The 18,217-nt window shown below is 40.8% G+C and overlaps 1 protein-coding gene across 1 annotated transcript; it reads left to right on the top strand.

Annotated features, from left to right (window-relative positions):
* The first annotated feature begins 9,111 nt into the window (after positions 1-9,111).
* On the top strand, positions 9,112-12,373 carry NEUROD6 (neuronal differentiation 6). Its single transcript, NM_022728.4, has 2 exons — positions 9,112-9,245; positions 10,549-12,373. Exon 2 carries the CDS (start codon positions 10,570-10,572, stop codon positions 11,581-11,583), a length of 1,014 nt encoding a protein of 337 aa, NP_073565.2. The 5' UTR covers positions 9,112-9,245; positions 10,549-10,569; the 3' UTR covers positions 11,584-12,373.
* The last annotated feature ends 5,844 nt before the right edge of the window (positions 12,374-18,217 follow it).

Genomic DNA, 18,217 nt, shown 5'->3' with positions numbered 1-18,217 from the left:
TAATACGATGCTTCCTATGTAGTAGGTATCATTCTAAGCCCTTTATATCCAACAACCTATGAGATAAGAATAGAATCAGTCCCAACTGGGAGACGGAGAAGCTGAAGCATAGAGACCTTGCCCAGGGTCATCCAGCTAGAAAGTAGCAGAATCAGGGAGTCTGGTGCCATTTGCCATCCTTAACCACTATACCAGTCTGCCTATGCATATAATCCTCATATAGCTGTTGTAAAAACTACATAATATATGCAGAAAAGCTAGAACAATGTATTCAAAAAATTAGTCTTCATAATAACATTGATCAAATATTAGTTTTAATAATTTAGCCATAATGTTAGAAAACTTAAATTTCCACCGAAGTACTCTTTAAAGGCAAATATTCTGAAATATGTTCTTGGTAAACTACTGCATAATCTTAGGTTTGCACTGTCTTCCAAAAGGCTGTTAGGAAAACAAAGCAGATATTCATTTGTTTGATACTCTGTACCAGAGTGGTGCATCACAATGCTTCAAATATGTCAGTTCTATTTCCTCAACAGATCTCCAGACTCCTTGAATGAAGGGATTGTGTCTTCTACTCTCTCCAACATCAAACACAGTTGTTTGATATGAAGGAATCATTCAAGAAAAATCTGTAGATTGGTGATCAATACCCTTCTTGATAGTGTGTTTTTAGCTTTGGGAGAATGTTATCAAACTTGTATAATGATTTTAGGATGTGTGTGATTGTGCAGGTAATTAATAAAGATTACCTCTTCCCAAATGTCCCATTCTATATGAAACAAAGTCCTACACACAGAATACACGTACACATTTCTGTAGGATATATACATAGGAATGGGATGTGGCTAACATACATATGTTTACCAAATTAAATATACTAGAATAGCACTTATGATAACCCCAAACTAGAAACTACCCAAATATTCATCAACAACAGAATGGAAAAACAAAATGTGGTATAGTCATGCAATGGAATACTATATAGCAGTGAGGGTGAACAATCTACAATTGCATACAATGTGGATAAACTTCACACAAAAAAAGTTGAGATAAAGGAACCAGGCCCATGATTTCACTTATATAACGTACAAAATGGACAAAATTAATTGATGCAGTTAGAAGTCAAGTTTTTGGTTTATTTTGGGGAGGGCTGGCTGGTAGCTGTAAGACGGAAGAAGGAGGCTTCTGGGTAGCCGGTGTTGTTGTTTCTTGATCCTGTCATATAGCTGTGTTAAGCTTGGAAAAATTTAATTGAACTGTGAACTTATTGTCATGTGTACTTTTCAGTCTCTGTTATATCTCAAATAAAGGTAAAAAAAAATTCTTCACATACTTGCAAGCTCTAGTCAAATGTTTTCTTTATCCCTAACAACAACCTCTCTTATAGTGAGCTCATACTATTTTTAATTAGATGATTGTGGATGCGTTTCATGTGCCTAATTCAACTCTGACTTCCATAAGAGCTGGGCCTCTGTTATGTATCCATATTTCCTCTCATATCTATAGTAGTAACAAAAAAGTAAGGGTTTTGTTGAATGAATGAAAAACAATGAAGGAATAAAATTGAACAACTCAACCCTCAACTCTTCGGAGTCAAATAAGAGCTTGTTGTCAGCCGGGCACGGTGGCTCACTCCTGTAATCCCAGCACTTTGGAAGGCCAAGGCAGGCAGATCATGAGGTCAGGAGTTCGAGACCAACCTGACCAACATGGTGAAACCCTGTCTTTACTAAAAATTACAAAAATTAGCTGGGCGTGGTGGCGCATGCCTGTAATCCCAGCTATTCAGGAGGCTGAAGCAGGAGAATCACTTGAACCTGGGAAATGGAGGTTGCAATGAGCCGAGATCATGCCACTGCACTCCAGCCTGGGTGACACAGAAAGACTCCATCTCAAAAAAAAAAAAAAAAAAAAAGAGCTGTTGTCATGACAATTGTAATTATTGTTATATGATTTCACCATATATAACAGTCTACAACTACCTATACACATTGATCCAAAAAAGAAAAGCATCGAAAAGTGTAATATATCTGGTGACTCTTCTTAAGTCACCAGATACATTGGTAAGATAATTATTCACTTTGTAAATAGATTCACGGTCAAGTTTTGCTACTTCATCTAATGTTATTAATTCAGTATTTATTTTATACCAGAGGCAGTCCTAGGCAGTCCATTGACATTGATCATTTAATTCTTAAGGTAGCAAGGTATAGTAGTTTAAAAGGTAGGATTTGGATTCAGGCTGACCTAGGTCCAAATGATGATTCTCTCACTTGAAAACTGAGCAGTCCAGGAACATTAGTTAATATCTCTGAGCCATAAGTTCATTATCTCTGCAATGAGGACACTCACATCTACCTTACTGCAAGGAACAAATGTGCTAATGTTTATACAGCCCTTAGCCTGATCCTCGGTGCCCTGCGTATGAATGAATACTTTGTTCATCGTCATCATCATCATCCTCATGACCAGAGGTTTTATAACTTTCCTACAGGTAATCTACATCCATTCAATCAGTAAATTCTATCGATTCCATCTCCAAAATATATTTCCATGCCTCCTTTTTTCTCCCTTTCCATTGCCCCCACTCAACCTGGGGCCACAGTCATCCCCTCCAGCTCTGTCTACTCTCACAGGCTTTGTAATTTCTGTGGAGGAGGAGAAATATCTCTTTTCTTACCCATCCTAGGTTCATGGATGAGGTCCCTATAATAAAAGACGGATTAACCAGAGGAAAGCATACACATTTATTTAATAAGTTTTCTATGACATGGGAGCCTTCATAAAGAAATGACAACCCAAACAAAGAGTTAAACTTGAGTGTTTTTATACTGGATTTGATAAAAAAGAAGAGTCAAGAAGAAATATGATGTGACAAATAATGTAATCTAATGGTAATAAACTGAGGAAACTTAGCATGATCTGTTTGTTCAGATTCTAATCTGTGTTCCCATGTCTTCAAAGACAAGGGATTCCTTTCATCTGGGTGTAGGGAGGGCACCTCTCACATGCAGGTCTTCTGACCTGCTTCAGGGGAAGGTCAGAAAATCCTTCTTGGTCCAGGTGTAGTGGTTCACACCTGCAATCCCAGCACTTTGGGAGGCCAAGGCACGAGGATCACCTGAGGCAAGGAGCTTGAGACCAGCCTGGGCAACACAGTAAGACACTGTCTCTAAAGGAAGGAATAAATAGAAAAGAAAATCCTTCCTATATTTTATCATCTGCTTCAAGGGAGAAGTGGGGAAAGTCTGAGAGATCTTCCTGCTTCTAAGGCTTTCTCAAATTCCTTCAGCTTCAATATGCCAAATTTTGGGGTAGTGTGTCCTGAGCCCTGTCTGTTCTCTCCCTGTTTCTTCTTTTGCCCTCTCCAAATCTTCTCCTTGGAGCCAGCTAAAGAAAATGTTTCCAACCTTAAATTGCCTCAGGCTCTCCAAAGGCTTCCTTTGGAATATATTCGAAATGCTTTACCACGACCCAGGCACCCATGGACGATCCAGGGCTTACTGTCACGGCGCTGCTCCTAGTCTTCCCAGACCAGAAGAAACAGCACGAGCTCCTGCCTCTGCTGCTCCACCTGCTCGTCTCAGCTTAAAGGACGACTCAGAAAGGGCTCCTCAGTGCTTTAATCAAATAGGTCCTCCCATTTTTCTCTGTAGCCTCTGATGTGTACGTTCCACATGCATGTGTTTACCTGTTCATTGTCTGTCTCCCCTACTAGACTGCAAACTCCCCCACAGCCTTGTACAGCTGCTGTACACACTGCTGAATGGCCATCACTAACCCAGTGCCTGGTACACATTTCTTCGTTCAACAAGTATGTACTTCCTGGCTTTCATGGGCAGGCATTAGAAATGTAGATTAATACACACTGGAAATCAGCAATGTATTGTGTTAGAAAGTGATAAGTACTACAGAGAAAAGTAAAACAGGAAGAAAATGGATAGGGAGGAATTAGTGGGTGCAGGGCCACAGTATAAATTAGGAGGGCCAGGGGAGGCCTCACTGAGAGGGGCCATGTGGACAGAGACTTGAAAGGTATGAGAATAAGCCACGGGGATTTGCAAAAAGAAAATGCCAGGTGGAAATTCAGTGCCACGACCCTAAGGTGGGACGGTGCCTGAGTGTTCAAGGAATCGCCAGCAGCCAGTGTCACTGGAGATGAGTGAGTTCAGGGGAAAGCAGAAGATGGAATCGCAGAAGCCAGGAGAAACCTCTGGGCCTCTGCCAGGACTTGGCCTCTGCTCTGAGGGAGAGGAGAAGTACTGGAGAGTTCTGAGTACAGGAGAACACAGTCTGATTTATGTTCTAATCAGATGTCTCTGGCTACTGAATTGAGAGTCCTATATGGGATGTAAGGGGCCAAGAGTGAAAGCCCAGATGCCATCTAGGCCAGGTGAAAGGTGATGGTGTTCTCGGCCGCCAGAGTAGGAGTAGGGCAATTGCTAAAAAGTGCTCAGAGTCTGGGTGTAATTTTAACATAGAACTGAGAGGATTTGCTGACATATTGATTGTGGGATGTGAGAGAAAAAAAGGAGTCAAAAATTACTCCAAAATAGATCTTCAATAAGATTTTGATGAACTAATGAATGAATGAACGAATGAATGACATACAGCTATTAAACAGCAGGATCAAGATTTGAAACAAGGTTAGTAAAATGTCAAAATACTCTTTGTCATTCTTACCCTTTTAGAATCTGACAAAGAAAGCCTTTCCTTAGAAAAGTGCATGTATGTACATACGTGCCAATTTGCACAGCATCTTGGGAGGCTCAAGGACCTCTTCAAATCCATCCAGGAATCGTCTGTGTTAAGAGAGCCTGCACTTCATCATACCATCACCTAACATAAAACTTGATTTTCAAAAATGCACTTTGCATAAAACTTTTGCAAAAACATCTCTTGCATAAAGGTCTTATAAAATGGTCTTACTTCAATCTTACAAAATGAATGAATGTAATAGGAAAAAGAAACAAATTGTATTTCTGTCTTCTATGTTTAAAAATAATCACTACATTACATGTATTGGAATAGAACAATAATTTCTAATTCAGTATTATAAAAAGTAGTAATTAGGGTTAACACATTATTCTTAATATTTTTAAAGCCTAAAGAAAACTGTACATTTCCTTACAGTGAGATCACAAAAGTTAAAACATCATCTCGCTACTTGTGGCTGGAATTATAAGAACTCAGTCCAGTAATACTAGTTTTCTCATACTGGTAGAAGTTTTAACTGGTAGTGTTAGATGCCCTTATTTAATAACAAATGAGAAATAAAAATTAAATCTGGTTTGGTCAGTAAAATGTTCCATGGGGGAAAAATAATAAAGAATATTTCCGGAAAGAGTGCTGTTTGAGCAAAGCATAATAGAAGACTGAATATTGCAGTCTATGAGCCACATAAACAACAAATATAATTATTACATAATAATAAGATAATTCAGTGTAGTCTTCACCTTGAAGTAAATCTAATAAGTAATCCAAAAGTTGCCCTCAAATTATTACAGATTATCTGTTTAGTCTACATAATCCTCATGTGTATATATAAGCAACATCTTTGTACCATCTATGTTTAAATTATATTTTTAAGCCCTCTAAGGACTTGAGGGAATGAGGTTGTTTTATATTTTGCCTGATAATTAAAACACTTTTACGTAAATTCCAAGGACTGTTTTCCAAAGTGGGACACTGCCACAGCCATAAAACTATTTCAAGCCAATGGGGATCACAAAGTTAAAACTCTAGGAACTAACACTGAGGAGCTTGCTCACAAGCTTCATGAGCACCCTGAAGATCTGTCTAAGGCAAGAAGAAGAAGAAAGACAGAAAGACAGAAAGACAGGAAGGAAGGAAGGAAGGAAGGAAGGAAGGAAGGAAGGAAGGAAGGAAGGAAGGAAGGAAGGAAGGAAGGAAAAGAGAGAAAAATTCAAAATTGATCTCAGTGTGTGTTAGTACCCCACATCTGGGGAAAAAACTCTGGTCCTGGGCTTGTGCTGCTTGATCCTGTCCCAGTCCACATTCTGTTGCCTTATACCCTTGGAGAATTGAGAAAAATGCCTGTCATGTTTCAAACTGATCTCAAATGATGAGAGGACTGTGAAAAAGGGAGTCAATAGAATTCCCACTTGCTAAGACACAGGCACCAACAGGATGACATAAAAAACAACAACACTCGAGCCTTAATTGGGACTTTTGGTTTTTATTGTCTTACAACAGAGTCAAAATTATATCTAAATTTTCCGTGGCTCATTTTTATGAGTGAAATATGAGCATTTACCCAGTGAAAGCAAGAGATAGGCAGACAGACAGACATTGGACACGTTTTAAAAAATATAAAATTGCATGGCCCCAGAAGCAAAAATCATATCAATTAAATTAATACCAAAATGAGTTAGAGATATGAACTTTGGTATGCAGTAGTTGTTGTAAAATGAGAAACTACATTATAGAAATGGTGATAATACACTTCTCATACTCTGCATATTCATCTATAAGTCAGAATGTATTTCTGTTTGGAGTATTGGTGTTAACATGCTTTCTTAGCAGAGAGTAGAACAGCCCTTATGGTGTATGTTATGAATGCATATTAACAGCACAGGCATTTGCATATCTGGAACTATAGTAGAAAATGCATAACAAAATTTCTTTTGAAAGATTATTGTACAAACACACTTAATTCTTGCTAAATCTTGACATAACAACTTTTTATTACCCCCACCTTTTTTTTGAAAAAAAACAAAAGACTAAAGCATCCAAACAATAGATTAATAGTCAGAAAACCTGAACACTAATTCTGTTCCTCCACCCCGTCAGCACCAAAGGTTTTTCTTTCGTGTTCAAAGGCAGGAATAGCACAGCCTCAAATGTTTTTATCGATAAATTGCTTCTCATTTTTCTGCAAATGCCAAGATAAAATATAAAATCTACCCTTTCAATGAAGTACATCCATGGTAATTTTCTACTGGCATATCATGTCATCTATTCCTTGGATTTTGATTTTCATGTTTGTGATGCCTTTAATACAATGCAGCTTTTGGAGACTTTGCAAGTTTAGAATATGGTGCAATATACAAAATTCAAGACAGCACTGGCTGCTTTGTGGCTCATGACTCTGATACTTACGCTCCTTTACATTTAAAAATTAAATCATATGGGAGACCAACAAAATTCTGCAACTGGCCTTCCTATAGAAATTCTCTATGCTAATATAAAAACTGTGTGTACTTCTTGAATTAAAAGCCATCTGAAATATACTCAATGCACCCATTACCAAGTAATATATTCTTAAACAACAAATTTTACAATGGCTATGGTATATCTGGCTTTTTAAAAAACAGAAGCTAGGCCAACCTACCTATTTTAACTTAGGAGTTTATAGCCTGACTCTTATTTTAAATTTGCATTTTTTACTGGGCCATTAAGAGAGAAAAATTATCTGCTTTTACATATTTGATTCTCCTTTTTGCCAGCTTCCCCAACATTTCTAGAACTGTCCAGGAAAAGTCAAGCAACTTTTTGAAGAAGGTGGAAATGAGTGGGGTATGACAGAAGCAAAATTGAATTTAGTGTGAGGCCCTTGGTGCCAATTTGGATCCAAAGTGCATTAAAGCAGCAGAATTCTAAACCTTGCAAAACTGGGATTTATAAGGGGAATGCTAACACAGATTCAACAGTTACAGCTCTGCAGGGATTACTTTAATACCAAAAGCATACTCTCTCACTTTATAGAAAGAGATTACTCAGTTGCCAAACAACAAAGGTTGCGTTTATTTGTTTATTTTAAAACTTTTACTTATTTTTTTTAAGTGCACTTTTTACTTTACTGGCAGGCAATCCTGAAATCAAATGTCCTTTATAGGGGTGGGGGCACGGGAGAAGAGAAAACAGGAGGAAGGTGGAGTTTGTCTCTGCCTCCACAGTTCGTATTATCTATAAGGCTTTGCCAGCTTTGCTTAACTGTTTCCACCCTGCTTTTGTTAAGAAGAAACCAAAAGTGTGGAGCGGGGAAAAAAGATAAATCTGAAATACACCTGACAGGGAAAAACAACTGGACACTGATACAAGAACAAGAAGATATTTAAATTGATGTTGGTCTAGAGAAAAATGTGAGGACAAGATTTTTAAGAGAAAGAAAAAAATCTGAAAGTCAAAAAAAAAGAAAAAAAAACAAAAACAGGAAAGCTAATCTTTGATTAAAATACTCAGCAGAATGTCAGGGAGAGGAAGACAAACACCTAAGTGATAATTTTTATGTTTATTGTGTCTGAAATGAAATGAGAGGGAACAAGCAAGTTAACGCTGGGAAGAGATAAGGGACAATAAAAGAGTGAAGTTAGTGACTTTCTGCAGAGGACAAAGTATGTAGTTTGAAATCCTTAACAACGGACTTGCAGTGTCTCTGCAAAAGTTGGTGAAAGATACCAGCAAGTGTAGGAAGGGGAGTATTTGAGGATGTCTTTCACAGACCCCAGATGGAGAAGCTGTTCTTTTATTCCAAATGCCTAAGAAGCACAGAAGTCTTACATGTTAATAAGAGAACACAGAGACACACACTCATAAGTTACACGCTGTGAAACAAAACAAGCAAAGGAGACCTTTTTTGACCCCTGTTCACTTACACAAATCTTAGTTTGGTTAAACGTCTTAAGACCAGTTTCCAGCTCCTTTTCACGGCTTTCTTTCCCTGGGTACCCAGGTGCACAAATGGGATGGTGATCTTTACAAAACAACATCATCAACAACAAAAAAAACCTCTTGCTCACACAAAAGCCCACCTTGTAAATGAATGGAATATTAACGATCACCTAATACTTGCACCTTTGGCAGGGCGAAACTGAACACTAACACAGCTATTTCTACAGATTGCCAGTGAAACCGAAGCAGTTCGAGGAGAAATGCACCTACTGTACGTGAAATGCTGGTGCAGATTTTTTTCCTATCAGTCTAACCTTCTGTGTTGATGCATGAAGGCTGGTACCCACTTACAGGGATGCCAGATGATCAGTGCAGAATGAAGGTCCCAAGAGAGAGGATCACATGGCTCTCTCTGCCCTGTGACGTCACTAGCAGATGGCATGGGTACCAGCTCTGGCAGTTGGCATCAATGTCACTTTTTAGAGATCAATGAGATAGTGCAGATATACACAGATCTAGAGACTCCAGGAGACGATGCGACACTCAGCCTGAAAAGATTTGGAAGACCCAAAATGAAAACTGATTATTGAATGAAATTAAAACCTAAGGTAATATAAATAAAGATATACTTCAATTGATGCTGGCTTTGCATGCAAGTATTTAAAGATACAGTGTCACTGTCTTATAGTATTTATATGCTCTTTGCCATCTATAACTTATCATATTTCATTCTTATGATGTAATTATCACATACTTTCACTGCTATTATGTAACACTGCAAGTATGTGGACATTACTAAGAGTTTGTGTATGTGTTCGTGTGTATATGTGTGTGTTGAGGGGGCTGGAGATTGTTAAATTGAAAAGTCTCTGCTTTAATGTGCCTATTTGTTTGAAGACTTTAGATGAAAATACTTGCTGCTTCACCAGACAAAAACCAAAATGCATTTGAAACACAAATTATTTTCCCCTTTCATTTGGGATTCTGAACACACGTGCACAATTGCAGTCAGAATCCTTGGACCGTTCCTGTCAGATATTAGCTAGAGGGAGACTTCTATGGCTCGTAGAACAAAAACACTACGAGAGTGGTTTTTGTCCAGGATGATTTGAACAGCAGTAAACAGACAATTCTATTTGGAAAAAATTTAAATGTAAATAAAATCAGTCTCTATTTTTTTTAATTAAAAGAAATTGCTAGTGATTTTTATGTTTTAAATTTATTTATAGAGTTTATTCCAAATTAGCCTAATCCCCTTTTCTTTTTGAAGCCTGGGAAAATAGTGCCCTTTTACATAATTCTTTACTGATCAGAAAAAATCAGTTGAAAAATTGACTCTGATTATAATCTTTTCTTTAAATTTGTATATTCCCACACCCACTTATCTAAATTCACAGTTGTGTGATACAGCAAATAAAGTTAAGGTTTTGTTTGTTTGTTTGTTTGTTTTAAAAAAAGAACACAAATTTGTCAGCTAATGGAGAGATAGTCCATTTTAAAAACTGGTTTATCTTCTCATTTTGTGCTCAGGGGAATTGGAATTAATGAAATTCTGCATTGCAATTTCATGTTTTGCATTTGCTTGAATTCCACAATCTTTTTTGGGGGTATTAAAATCCAGTTTAAAGGCAAAGAGAAATGTAGATGGTAATGATATCACAATAATTATATGTTTCATTTTTATTTTCTTTTGATAATTTGCTCATATAAATAATCCTATTGAATGCATCAATGTCTTCATAATTACTTATCTTCACAAACTCAAAATTATATTTAATGTTAAAAAATCAGGCCCAGAATCAGTCTTTTTCACGTGTTTTTGTAATCTTATGATTAAATAATTAAATATGTTTTAAGTGTATAAACTTTAAAAATGAAAACTCTTTAAATATTGTGCTGGCATTTTTTCAGGTAATTTAAGATTAGAGAACCATGTTAACACTACCGTTTGATGAGTCTGTTGTAATGCCAGAATCCCAGATGTGCAGAAAGTTTTCTAGAGAATGCGAGGACCAGAAGCAAATTAAGAAGCCAGAAAGCTTTTCCAAACAGATTGTCCTTCGAGGAAAGAGCATCAAAAGGGCCCCTGGAGAAGAAACCGAGAAAGAAGAAGAGGAGGAAGACAGGGAAGAGGAAGATGAAAATGGGTTGCCTAGAAGGAGGGGTCTTAGGAAAAAAAAGACAACAAAGCTGCGATTGGAAAGGGTCAAGTTCAGGAGACAGGAAGCGAACGCGCGCGAGAGGAACAGGATGCACGGCCTCAACGACGCTCTGGACAACTTAAGAAAAGTGGTCCCCTGTTATTCTAAAACCCAGAAACTGTCCAAAATAGAGACTTTACGACTGGCCAAAAACTACATCTGGGCACTTTCTGAAATTCTGAGAATCGGCAAGAGACCAGATCTGCTCACATTCGTCCAAAACTTATGCAAAGGTCTTTCCCAGCCAACTACAAACTTGGTGGCAGGCTGCTTGCAGCTCAACGCCAGGAGTTTCCTGATGGGTCAGGGTGGGGAGGCTGCACACCACACAAGGTCACCCTACTCTACCTTCTACCCACCCTACCACAGCCCTGAGCTCACCACTCCCCCAGGGCATGGGACTCTTGATAATTCCAAGTCCATGAAACCCTACAATTATTGCAGTGCGTATGAATCCTTCTATGAAAGTACTTCCCCTGAGTGTGCCAGCCCTCAGTTTGAAGGTCCCTTAAGTCCTCCCCCAATTAACTATAATGGGATATTTTCCCTGAAGCAAGAAGAAACCTTGGACTATGGTAAAAATTACAATTACGGCATGCATTACTGTGCAGTGCCACCCAGGGGTCCCCTTGGGCAGGGTGCCATGTTCAGGTTGCCCACCGACAGCCACTTCCCTTACGACTTACATCTGCGCAGCCAATCTCTCACAATGCAAGATGAATTAAATGCAGTTTTTCATAATTAATGAGGAAAATGAAAATAAACAGTGGTCATTCACCTCCCCTGTCTAATTAAGACAAAGCAGATGCTTGTGGGCTGAGTAATTGGCACAACTCTATCTAAGGTGTTTACTAGTTTCTGAAGTGTGTTTCAACTATTGTGAGAATTTTCTATGTAATAATAAATCTCTTTTCGTATGAGAACTTCTTTTCCTTTCCTTTTGTCTGTGAAGCACTGTGATTCTGTTTCTACTGGAAAGATTTTTTTCTTTTTAATTTTCTTTTAAACTTATTTAATTTGTTTGAACAAGGTGTCTAAGAATATACTGTTGAATAAAGACATGCACACAGCATAATTCAATGTCTATTTTGGTTGTACAGTAATTATAAAATGCATGTTATTAAAACCAGATGAGTAAAATGATGTGTTTATAATTATTAGGAATTATATATTATGTATCTTTTAAAAATTGAAATTTTAAAATATGGAGAATATCACTAAGCTGACAATGATATTGGGAGATGAATTTGCAACAATATAAAAAGCTATGCAATTTTCTTTTTATTAAGGATGAATCTAAATGCATTCAATTGGTAACTATTCCTCTTCAAGTATTTGCAGATGGGGCAACATGATATTTGGGTAGCTGATGTCATAATTCGGGGACAATTATCTCAATCATCAAGAAAAAAATTTCAGCACTTGTTTTGTATTATTCAGAAATTAACTGTACAGGTTTGTTATCACAATGTATAATTGTGTTTTTCCACCCCACATTTTTAAGGCAATTAAATATAGATATTTCCACTCGTAAAGGACATCTACTAGCTGTGATATTTTTGCATGCTACTTATTATTTCCTGGCACACAGCTGCTTTCTGTCTCCAATACTCCCCACTCCTCATTTCAGAAATATTTCTGGATTACAAAACCGTAGGAGCTAAAACAAATTTCTTAAACAGAATGGCCAAAGCGCTTACAAGAATTTTTTTTTCAAGTGTCTTAAATGAAAGAAGAGGAGCCCATGAGGGTTAAACATCCTGGGGAAACAATGATAAATCCTGGTAACCTTCAGCTCGAGCCTAAAATCGGTGGCAAATTTCCAACAAACACCAGAGTGGATGTTAAAAATGGAAGGTTTTACTCTGCGCCGGTTAAATGTCTGGCCGATCAGAGGCTAAATTCTGTGTGATTAAAAGTTTCCTTACAAAGGCCACCAAAAACTTATTTTTAATAGCGCTTGGGGAGCTAAACCTCTTAAACAGGATTGAGTCTCTTCTACAATCATGGGCGGGGTGGCAATGACCTCGCCAAGATGCCTTCTGGTGCAGTTTTGCCTCAGGGGGAGGAGCGGGGACAGCTGCGCAGACCGATGAGGGCAGCAGAAAGTGGGTGCAGTGGTGGCGGGACGGGGCAGGTCTTGGGTAGGCCTGGCCAACGCTGCCCCTCGGGGACTTTGTGGGCACCGCCAGAGCCGGCGCAGGCCCGACGGGGCCTGGCGGGCGGCGCGGGGAGAGGTTGCTGGCGGCGTTGCGTCGCCTCGGTGGCCGCCCGGGCACAGGCTGCACTGCCCGTGTCCCGCCCGCAGTGGGCGCCCTGGGGGCCGGGGGACTGCGCCCTGCGAACCCGGGCCGCGGCGCCCACACTGACCTGGCCTGCCCAAGAAAGGGGCTGGGTGGCATGGAGAGCGGCGAGCGCACCGCCGCGCGCGGGCCTGGAGGCTCTGCCCCGCACTCGCTCGGAGAGGGAGAAAGGGGGTTGCCCCTTCACCCGCCCCTTGTGCCACAAGCAGGGACGCGGCGCAGGCGGCGATAGCTCCAGCTATCTCTTGCCCAAGTGCAGCCGAGAGCTGACCCTGCCCTGCTCCTCCCACGGCTGGCGGGACTTCCTGAGCCGAGGCTGCGAGGCCCGCGCCCCATTCTGCAAAGGACAGCGTCTCCCTCTCCCTCTACGCCTCCAGTTTTACGCCCCTGGGCCTTTGGTGCGCAAGGCAGCCGCCACCGAGGGGCAAAGGTGCCGAGCAGCTGCTGGCGCGGGTGCTGAACGCGCCCTTCTAAGCTGGTGTGTTAGCACCTGTTCATTCAAACCCCAGAGGGCGGGGGAAAAGGCCCGAAAGAGAGGAGGAACTGCGCCCCCACGCCCCAGGTAGAGGGAAATTTGCCCAAACTAGACAGCCGTCTGTCCCCTCTACCTGTCTCTCTGCACCGGAGTGACTCGCGCTTGCTTCCTCCCATATGCGCACAAAACCTGCTTTCCCTGGCACTGTGTCCGGGACTGCCAGGCCTCTTTAAGGCCCCTCAGACACTAAGAGCCCGGCCATTGCTCACCCTGTCCGAGCAAACAGAAAGAAAGTGAAGAAGCATCTGGAAATGGAAGAATCTGGCCTTTTTGGCTTATTTTTTTAAGCGATCCTGTTAAATCACTAGCAGAATAGGTGTGGCTTCCCCCACCCCCCGCCCCCATCTTTCTCCCTTGATCCTTGCTCCAAGGTGACCCGCTGCCCGACTGAGAACAGCCTCGCACCTGCTCAGAATCTTGGTTCAGACAGCTTTTGAAACCCGCACAGTCTTTCCGGGGTCACAAATTCATATTGGAACGAGAGATTGCAACAGGAGATGTATCCTCCCGCCCCCCTCTGGCAATGTGGGAGAGCTAGGAAGAAAAGCAGCTGGCTGAGTGAGGAAGAAGCAAACCTCCAGGAGCTTCTGACCTCAGAGCTTTGTCCATAAGGAACTCAAGCAAAAGAGCCGGGTTTTCGGGCACAGATCCCTGAGAATATGAAATTTCTTCAAAAACTTGGATGCAAAAATGCAATGGATGCTCCCTTCTTCGGTAACGCTTGCCATGGGGGATAGTGTGGTTGTGTGTGATGGGGTGTTGGGTGATCCTCGCGCTTAGTCCTCCTTCAGATGCCCCTGATAACCCCTGGCATGGGACCCGCCCTTTACACACCACCCTGGCTGGCTGTCAGTTTGCTTTCCCAGTAGAGCTCTTCCTGTTCTCTCTTGATTGCAATCCTAAGAAATCATACGACTTGTTCATTCAAACACCAACATCACAGAGGCCATGCACTGCAAAATCTTTTTAAGATAGCACTCCAGTAGAAGGGAAAATAGTATAGTATAAAGAACATGGAAGGCTTGGGGTTGGATAGGTTTGGGTTGAAATCCTTGCTCTCATTCTGACTTCATGATTCCCTCACCTCCCAGCATGAAAAATCTTTCTCTCTTCTGAACGCTTTAAACCATTATTGTCTTCCATATTGATTAGACATCTCTTCTTTTGAGCTGAATTATGTGAATCTTATATTTGCCTTCACACAATTTTGTTTTTTCCTTTATTAGGATTAGGTTTTACATATATGTGTGTATGTGTGTATATATATATGATCTATATCTTTTATCTGTCAGGATATATGTCTATATCTATGTCAGTGAGTGCCCTCAACAAAATAAAGATATATTTCTTTCTCATATACAGAAGTCATGGGAGGTAGTCCAGGACTGATATGGTTGTGCCGGGGCACCAGGGGCCTAGGCTCCTTCTGCCTTTCTACTCCACTATCTTTAGTGTGAGGTTTCCATTCTTATTCACCTCCTGGCCCAAGATGGCTGCTGGAGTTCTAGACATTGCATCTTCATTCCAATTAAGAAGAAAAAAGGTGGTCTGGCATGATGGCTCACGCCTGTAATCCCAGCACTTTGGGAGGCTGAGGTGGGTGGATCACAAGGTCAAGAGATCGAGACCATCCTGGCCAACATGGTGAAACCCCATCTCTCCTAAAAACACAAAAATTAGCTGGGCATGGTGGCCTGCGCCTGTAGTCCCAGCTACTCAGGAGGCTGAGGCAGGAGAATTGCTTGAACCCAGGAGGCAAAGGGTGCAGTGAGCTGAGATCATGCCACTGCACTCCAGCCTGGCTACAGAGTGAGACTCTGTGAAAAAAAAAAAGAGAGAGAGAGAGAGAGAGAGAGAGAGAAAGAAAGAAAGAAAGAAAGAAAGAAAGAAAGAAAGAAAGAAAGAAAGAAAGCCCCACCAAATGACTTCTACTTACTAATTATAGATTTAAGAGAAGCAGGGAAATATATCCTTTTTAACAAAGTATATTGCCACCTGGAATAAAATCAGGTCCTATCAGTAAGAATAAAAGAGAAAATGGATGTTAGTTAGGCACCTAGCCATGCCTTGAACTCTACTGTCCACCCAATTCCTTCCTCGCCTGTCTGGTACCTTGTACTTTTCCCAAGCATTCTCTTTTTGTTTCTATTACCTCTTTGACCATATACATTTGTGTTATGAATGTCTCTTAGGCGTCCCTTGCTTGCAGATGCTAGGTAAGGTTTGTCCTTAAGTTCAGTCTCTCTCTCACCTGCAAAATGCATGACCTCAGGCCTCTCGCTGTCTGTGTTTTAAAGGTATGAAGGGACCTGCTTTCATCTCCCATTCCTATTTCTACCTGTGCCTTTTCTTGGTCATATTCCCCATGCCCAGATTGCCCCTGTTGATGCCACCTCCAATGAAACATTCTGTGGCTGGTGATCTAGTCCAGCAGCCCATCTGATGGCACTGACCCACCTTTAACCTCAATCATCTTTTTGGGCATTTGTACCCCACTTTGAAACTGCTCTCTCTGGCTCTCATCACCTATCTCTGGTTCTCTGACCAATAAGGAAAAGCATGTTCTTATTTTACAGAGCAGGCAGAGTGCCCAAGCTCCTGCTGGTAAAATTCTCTTGCTTTAACCACCCAGCCCTCTTGGTTCCAGGGCACTCAGCCACTCCCAGGTGCTGGGTCAGGGTAGGTTCAAGTGTAGCGTCATTCGATACTCAGAGCAATTGCAACATGGCTCCCCTCAGGCCTGTTTCTGAATGTCCTCATGTATTCTGATACCTTCCCTATTTATGGGATATCCTCCCTCTTCCACAGGGGTCCTATTTCTTCATCAGGTACTCAATGAAAATCCAAATTAGGAGAAAGTTCAAGTTCTTCTCCTGAGCAGCTCTATACCAGGGACATAGGAAGAGAGGGTCTACAATCTGTCCTCTCATGCTAGAGTATATCACATGATGCTCTAACCAAGGCAAAGATGGAGCTAATTGGAGAACCAAAATAAAACAACAAACGCCTTTATTCATCCTAAAGCCCCAACTAACCTCTCATTCTTTTTCTTTCCCAAAGTTCTCAATAAATACCTGACACAGAATACCTCAACTTCTTCAGTGCCTTCTCTCTTTGATCTCCTCTTTGATCTTCTTCTGTGGTATCACCCAGTTGAGACTGAATGTTGTAACTTACTCTAACTTCTATGATATCATTCGGACAAAGAATACTGGTGGGTGCTTTTTTTTTTTAAAGGTGTTGAAAAACATTAATAAAAAGAACTAGGATATCAGATTGGAAAAGTGGGCTGGAAATCTCATGACAGAAGGCCCTGAGTGCCAACTAAGCAGCTATGGAAGATCACTGCAGGCCGTAAGTTCGAGGACCCAGCTTTGTCCACCAATACACATTAGCCTGTGCCCTTGGACAAGTGACGCAACTACCCATTCTCAATTTCCAGTCAAATAAAGATCATAAGAAGTAAAACAAGTTACTTAAGTCCAATGACTCTCCTTCAATTCTTACTCTCTTTGCTTTCCAGGTGCCCCAGCCCTCTCAAGCTATTGCAGCTCTCCTTACCCTTGTTCACTCTTCTTCAACTCTTCACCAGCGCTTAGGCCTCTGCACCTCTCTCCACTGCATCAATGATCCCACTTCCCACCTCCTGTCCCGTCTACATGAGGACTTCCCAAGCTGTGCTGCAGCCCACCAAATATCTTCACTTGGATATCCCACTCACTCTTAAAATTCACTGTGTCTAGAATGAAGCCCTCTCCAAAACACGGCCCCTCCTGCCAGCCCCTTCCAGAACATTCCTGTAGCTTCTTGTGAGTAAACTCACTGAGCCTTCTTTGATTAAATGAGATTGGGAATATGAAAAACACTTTGCAAAAAAAGTGATATTAAATATTTCTCCTATTTCCTTCTCTTTCTGGCTGTCCCCTTTCAAGTTAGTCTCCAGGTTCTGTTGATTTCTTCTTCTCACTTCACACCTGGACAAATATCCTGGTCTCCAACTAATGTCCCCTGCACCACCTTCCCTACAACCAGCCCACTTCCCAATGCCAAATTAATCTTCCTAAAATACTGCAACACACCAGTCCCTTACAGAAACACCTTTCATGGTTCTCATTGTCTATCCAATAAGTGATAAAATGCATTTTAATTTTTATTTATCTAAATCCTCTCTATTAAAACTATAGACAATTATTGACATTATATGTAACACTTTAGAATTTATAAAGTCCTTTTCACACATTCACCATATTTGGTCCTAAGAACATAATCACGAAGTAACACTTCCCATGATCTTTATTTTACCAGAAACTGAGAATTACCAAAGTCATTCCACTGTCTATAGGTACAGAGATAATGGACGTAACTGGCCAAAGCTGGCTTCTCATACTTTCACTCTCAACATTTCATAGACCCTTAGTTGGCACTGAAGGCCTGTGTAGGGATCCCCAGCCCACTTCTCTAACCCAAAATTTCATTTCATTATATCAATGATAAATGGTTTCCAGCAACTTTTTTTTTTTTTTTTTTTTTTTGACGAAGTC

The sequence above is a fragment of the Homo sapiens genome, chromosome 7 (assembly GCF_000001405.40).
Source record: "Homo sapiens chromosome 7, GRCh38.p14 Primary Assembly".
NCBI lineage: Eukaryota > Metazoa > Chordata > Mammalia > Primates > Hominidae > Homo > Homo sapiens.
This window is presented reverse-complemented; position numbering and strand designations above follow the sequence as displayed.

Excerpts from the sequence above, each read along its gene's own strand:
- NEUROD6 (NM_022728.4), top strand. The coding sequence starts at position 10,570 with ATGTTAACACTACCGTTTGATGAGTCTGTTGTAATGCCAGAATCCCAG.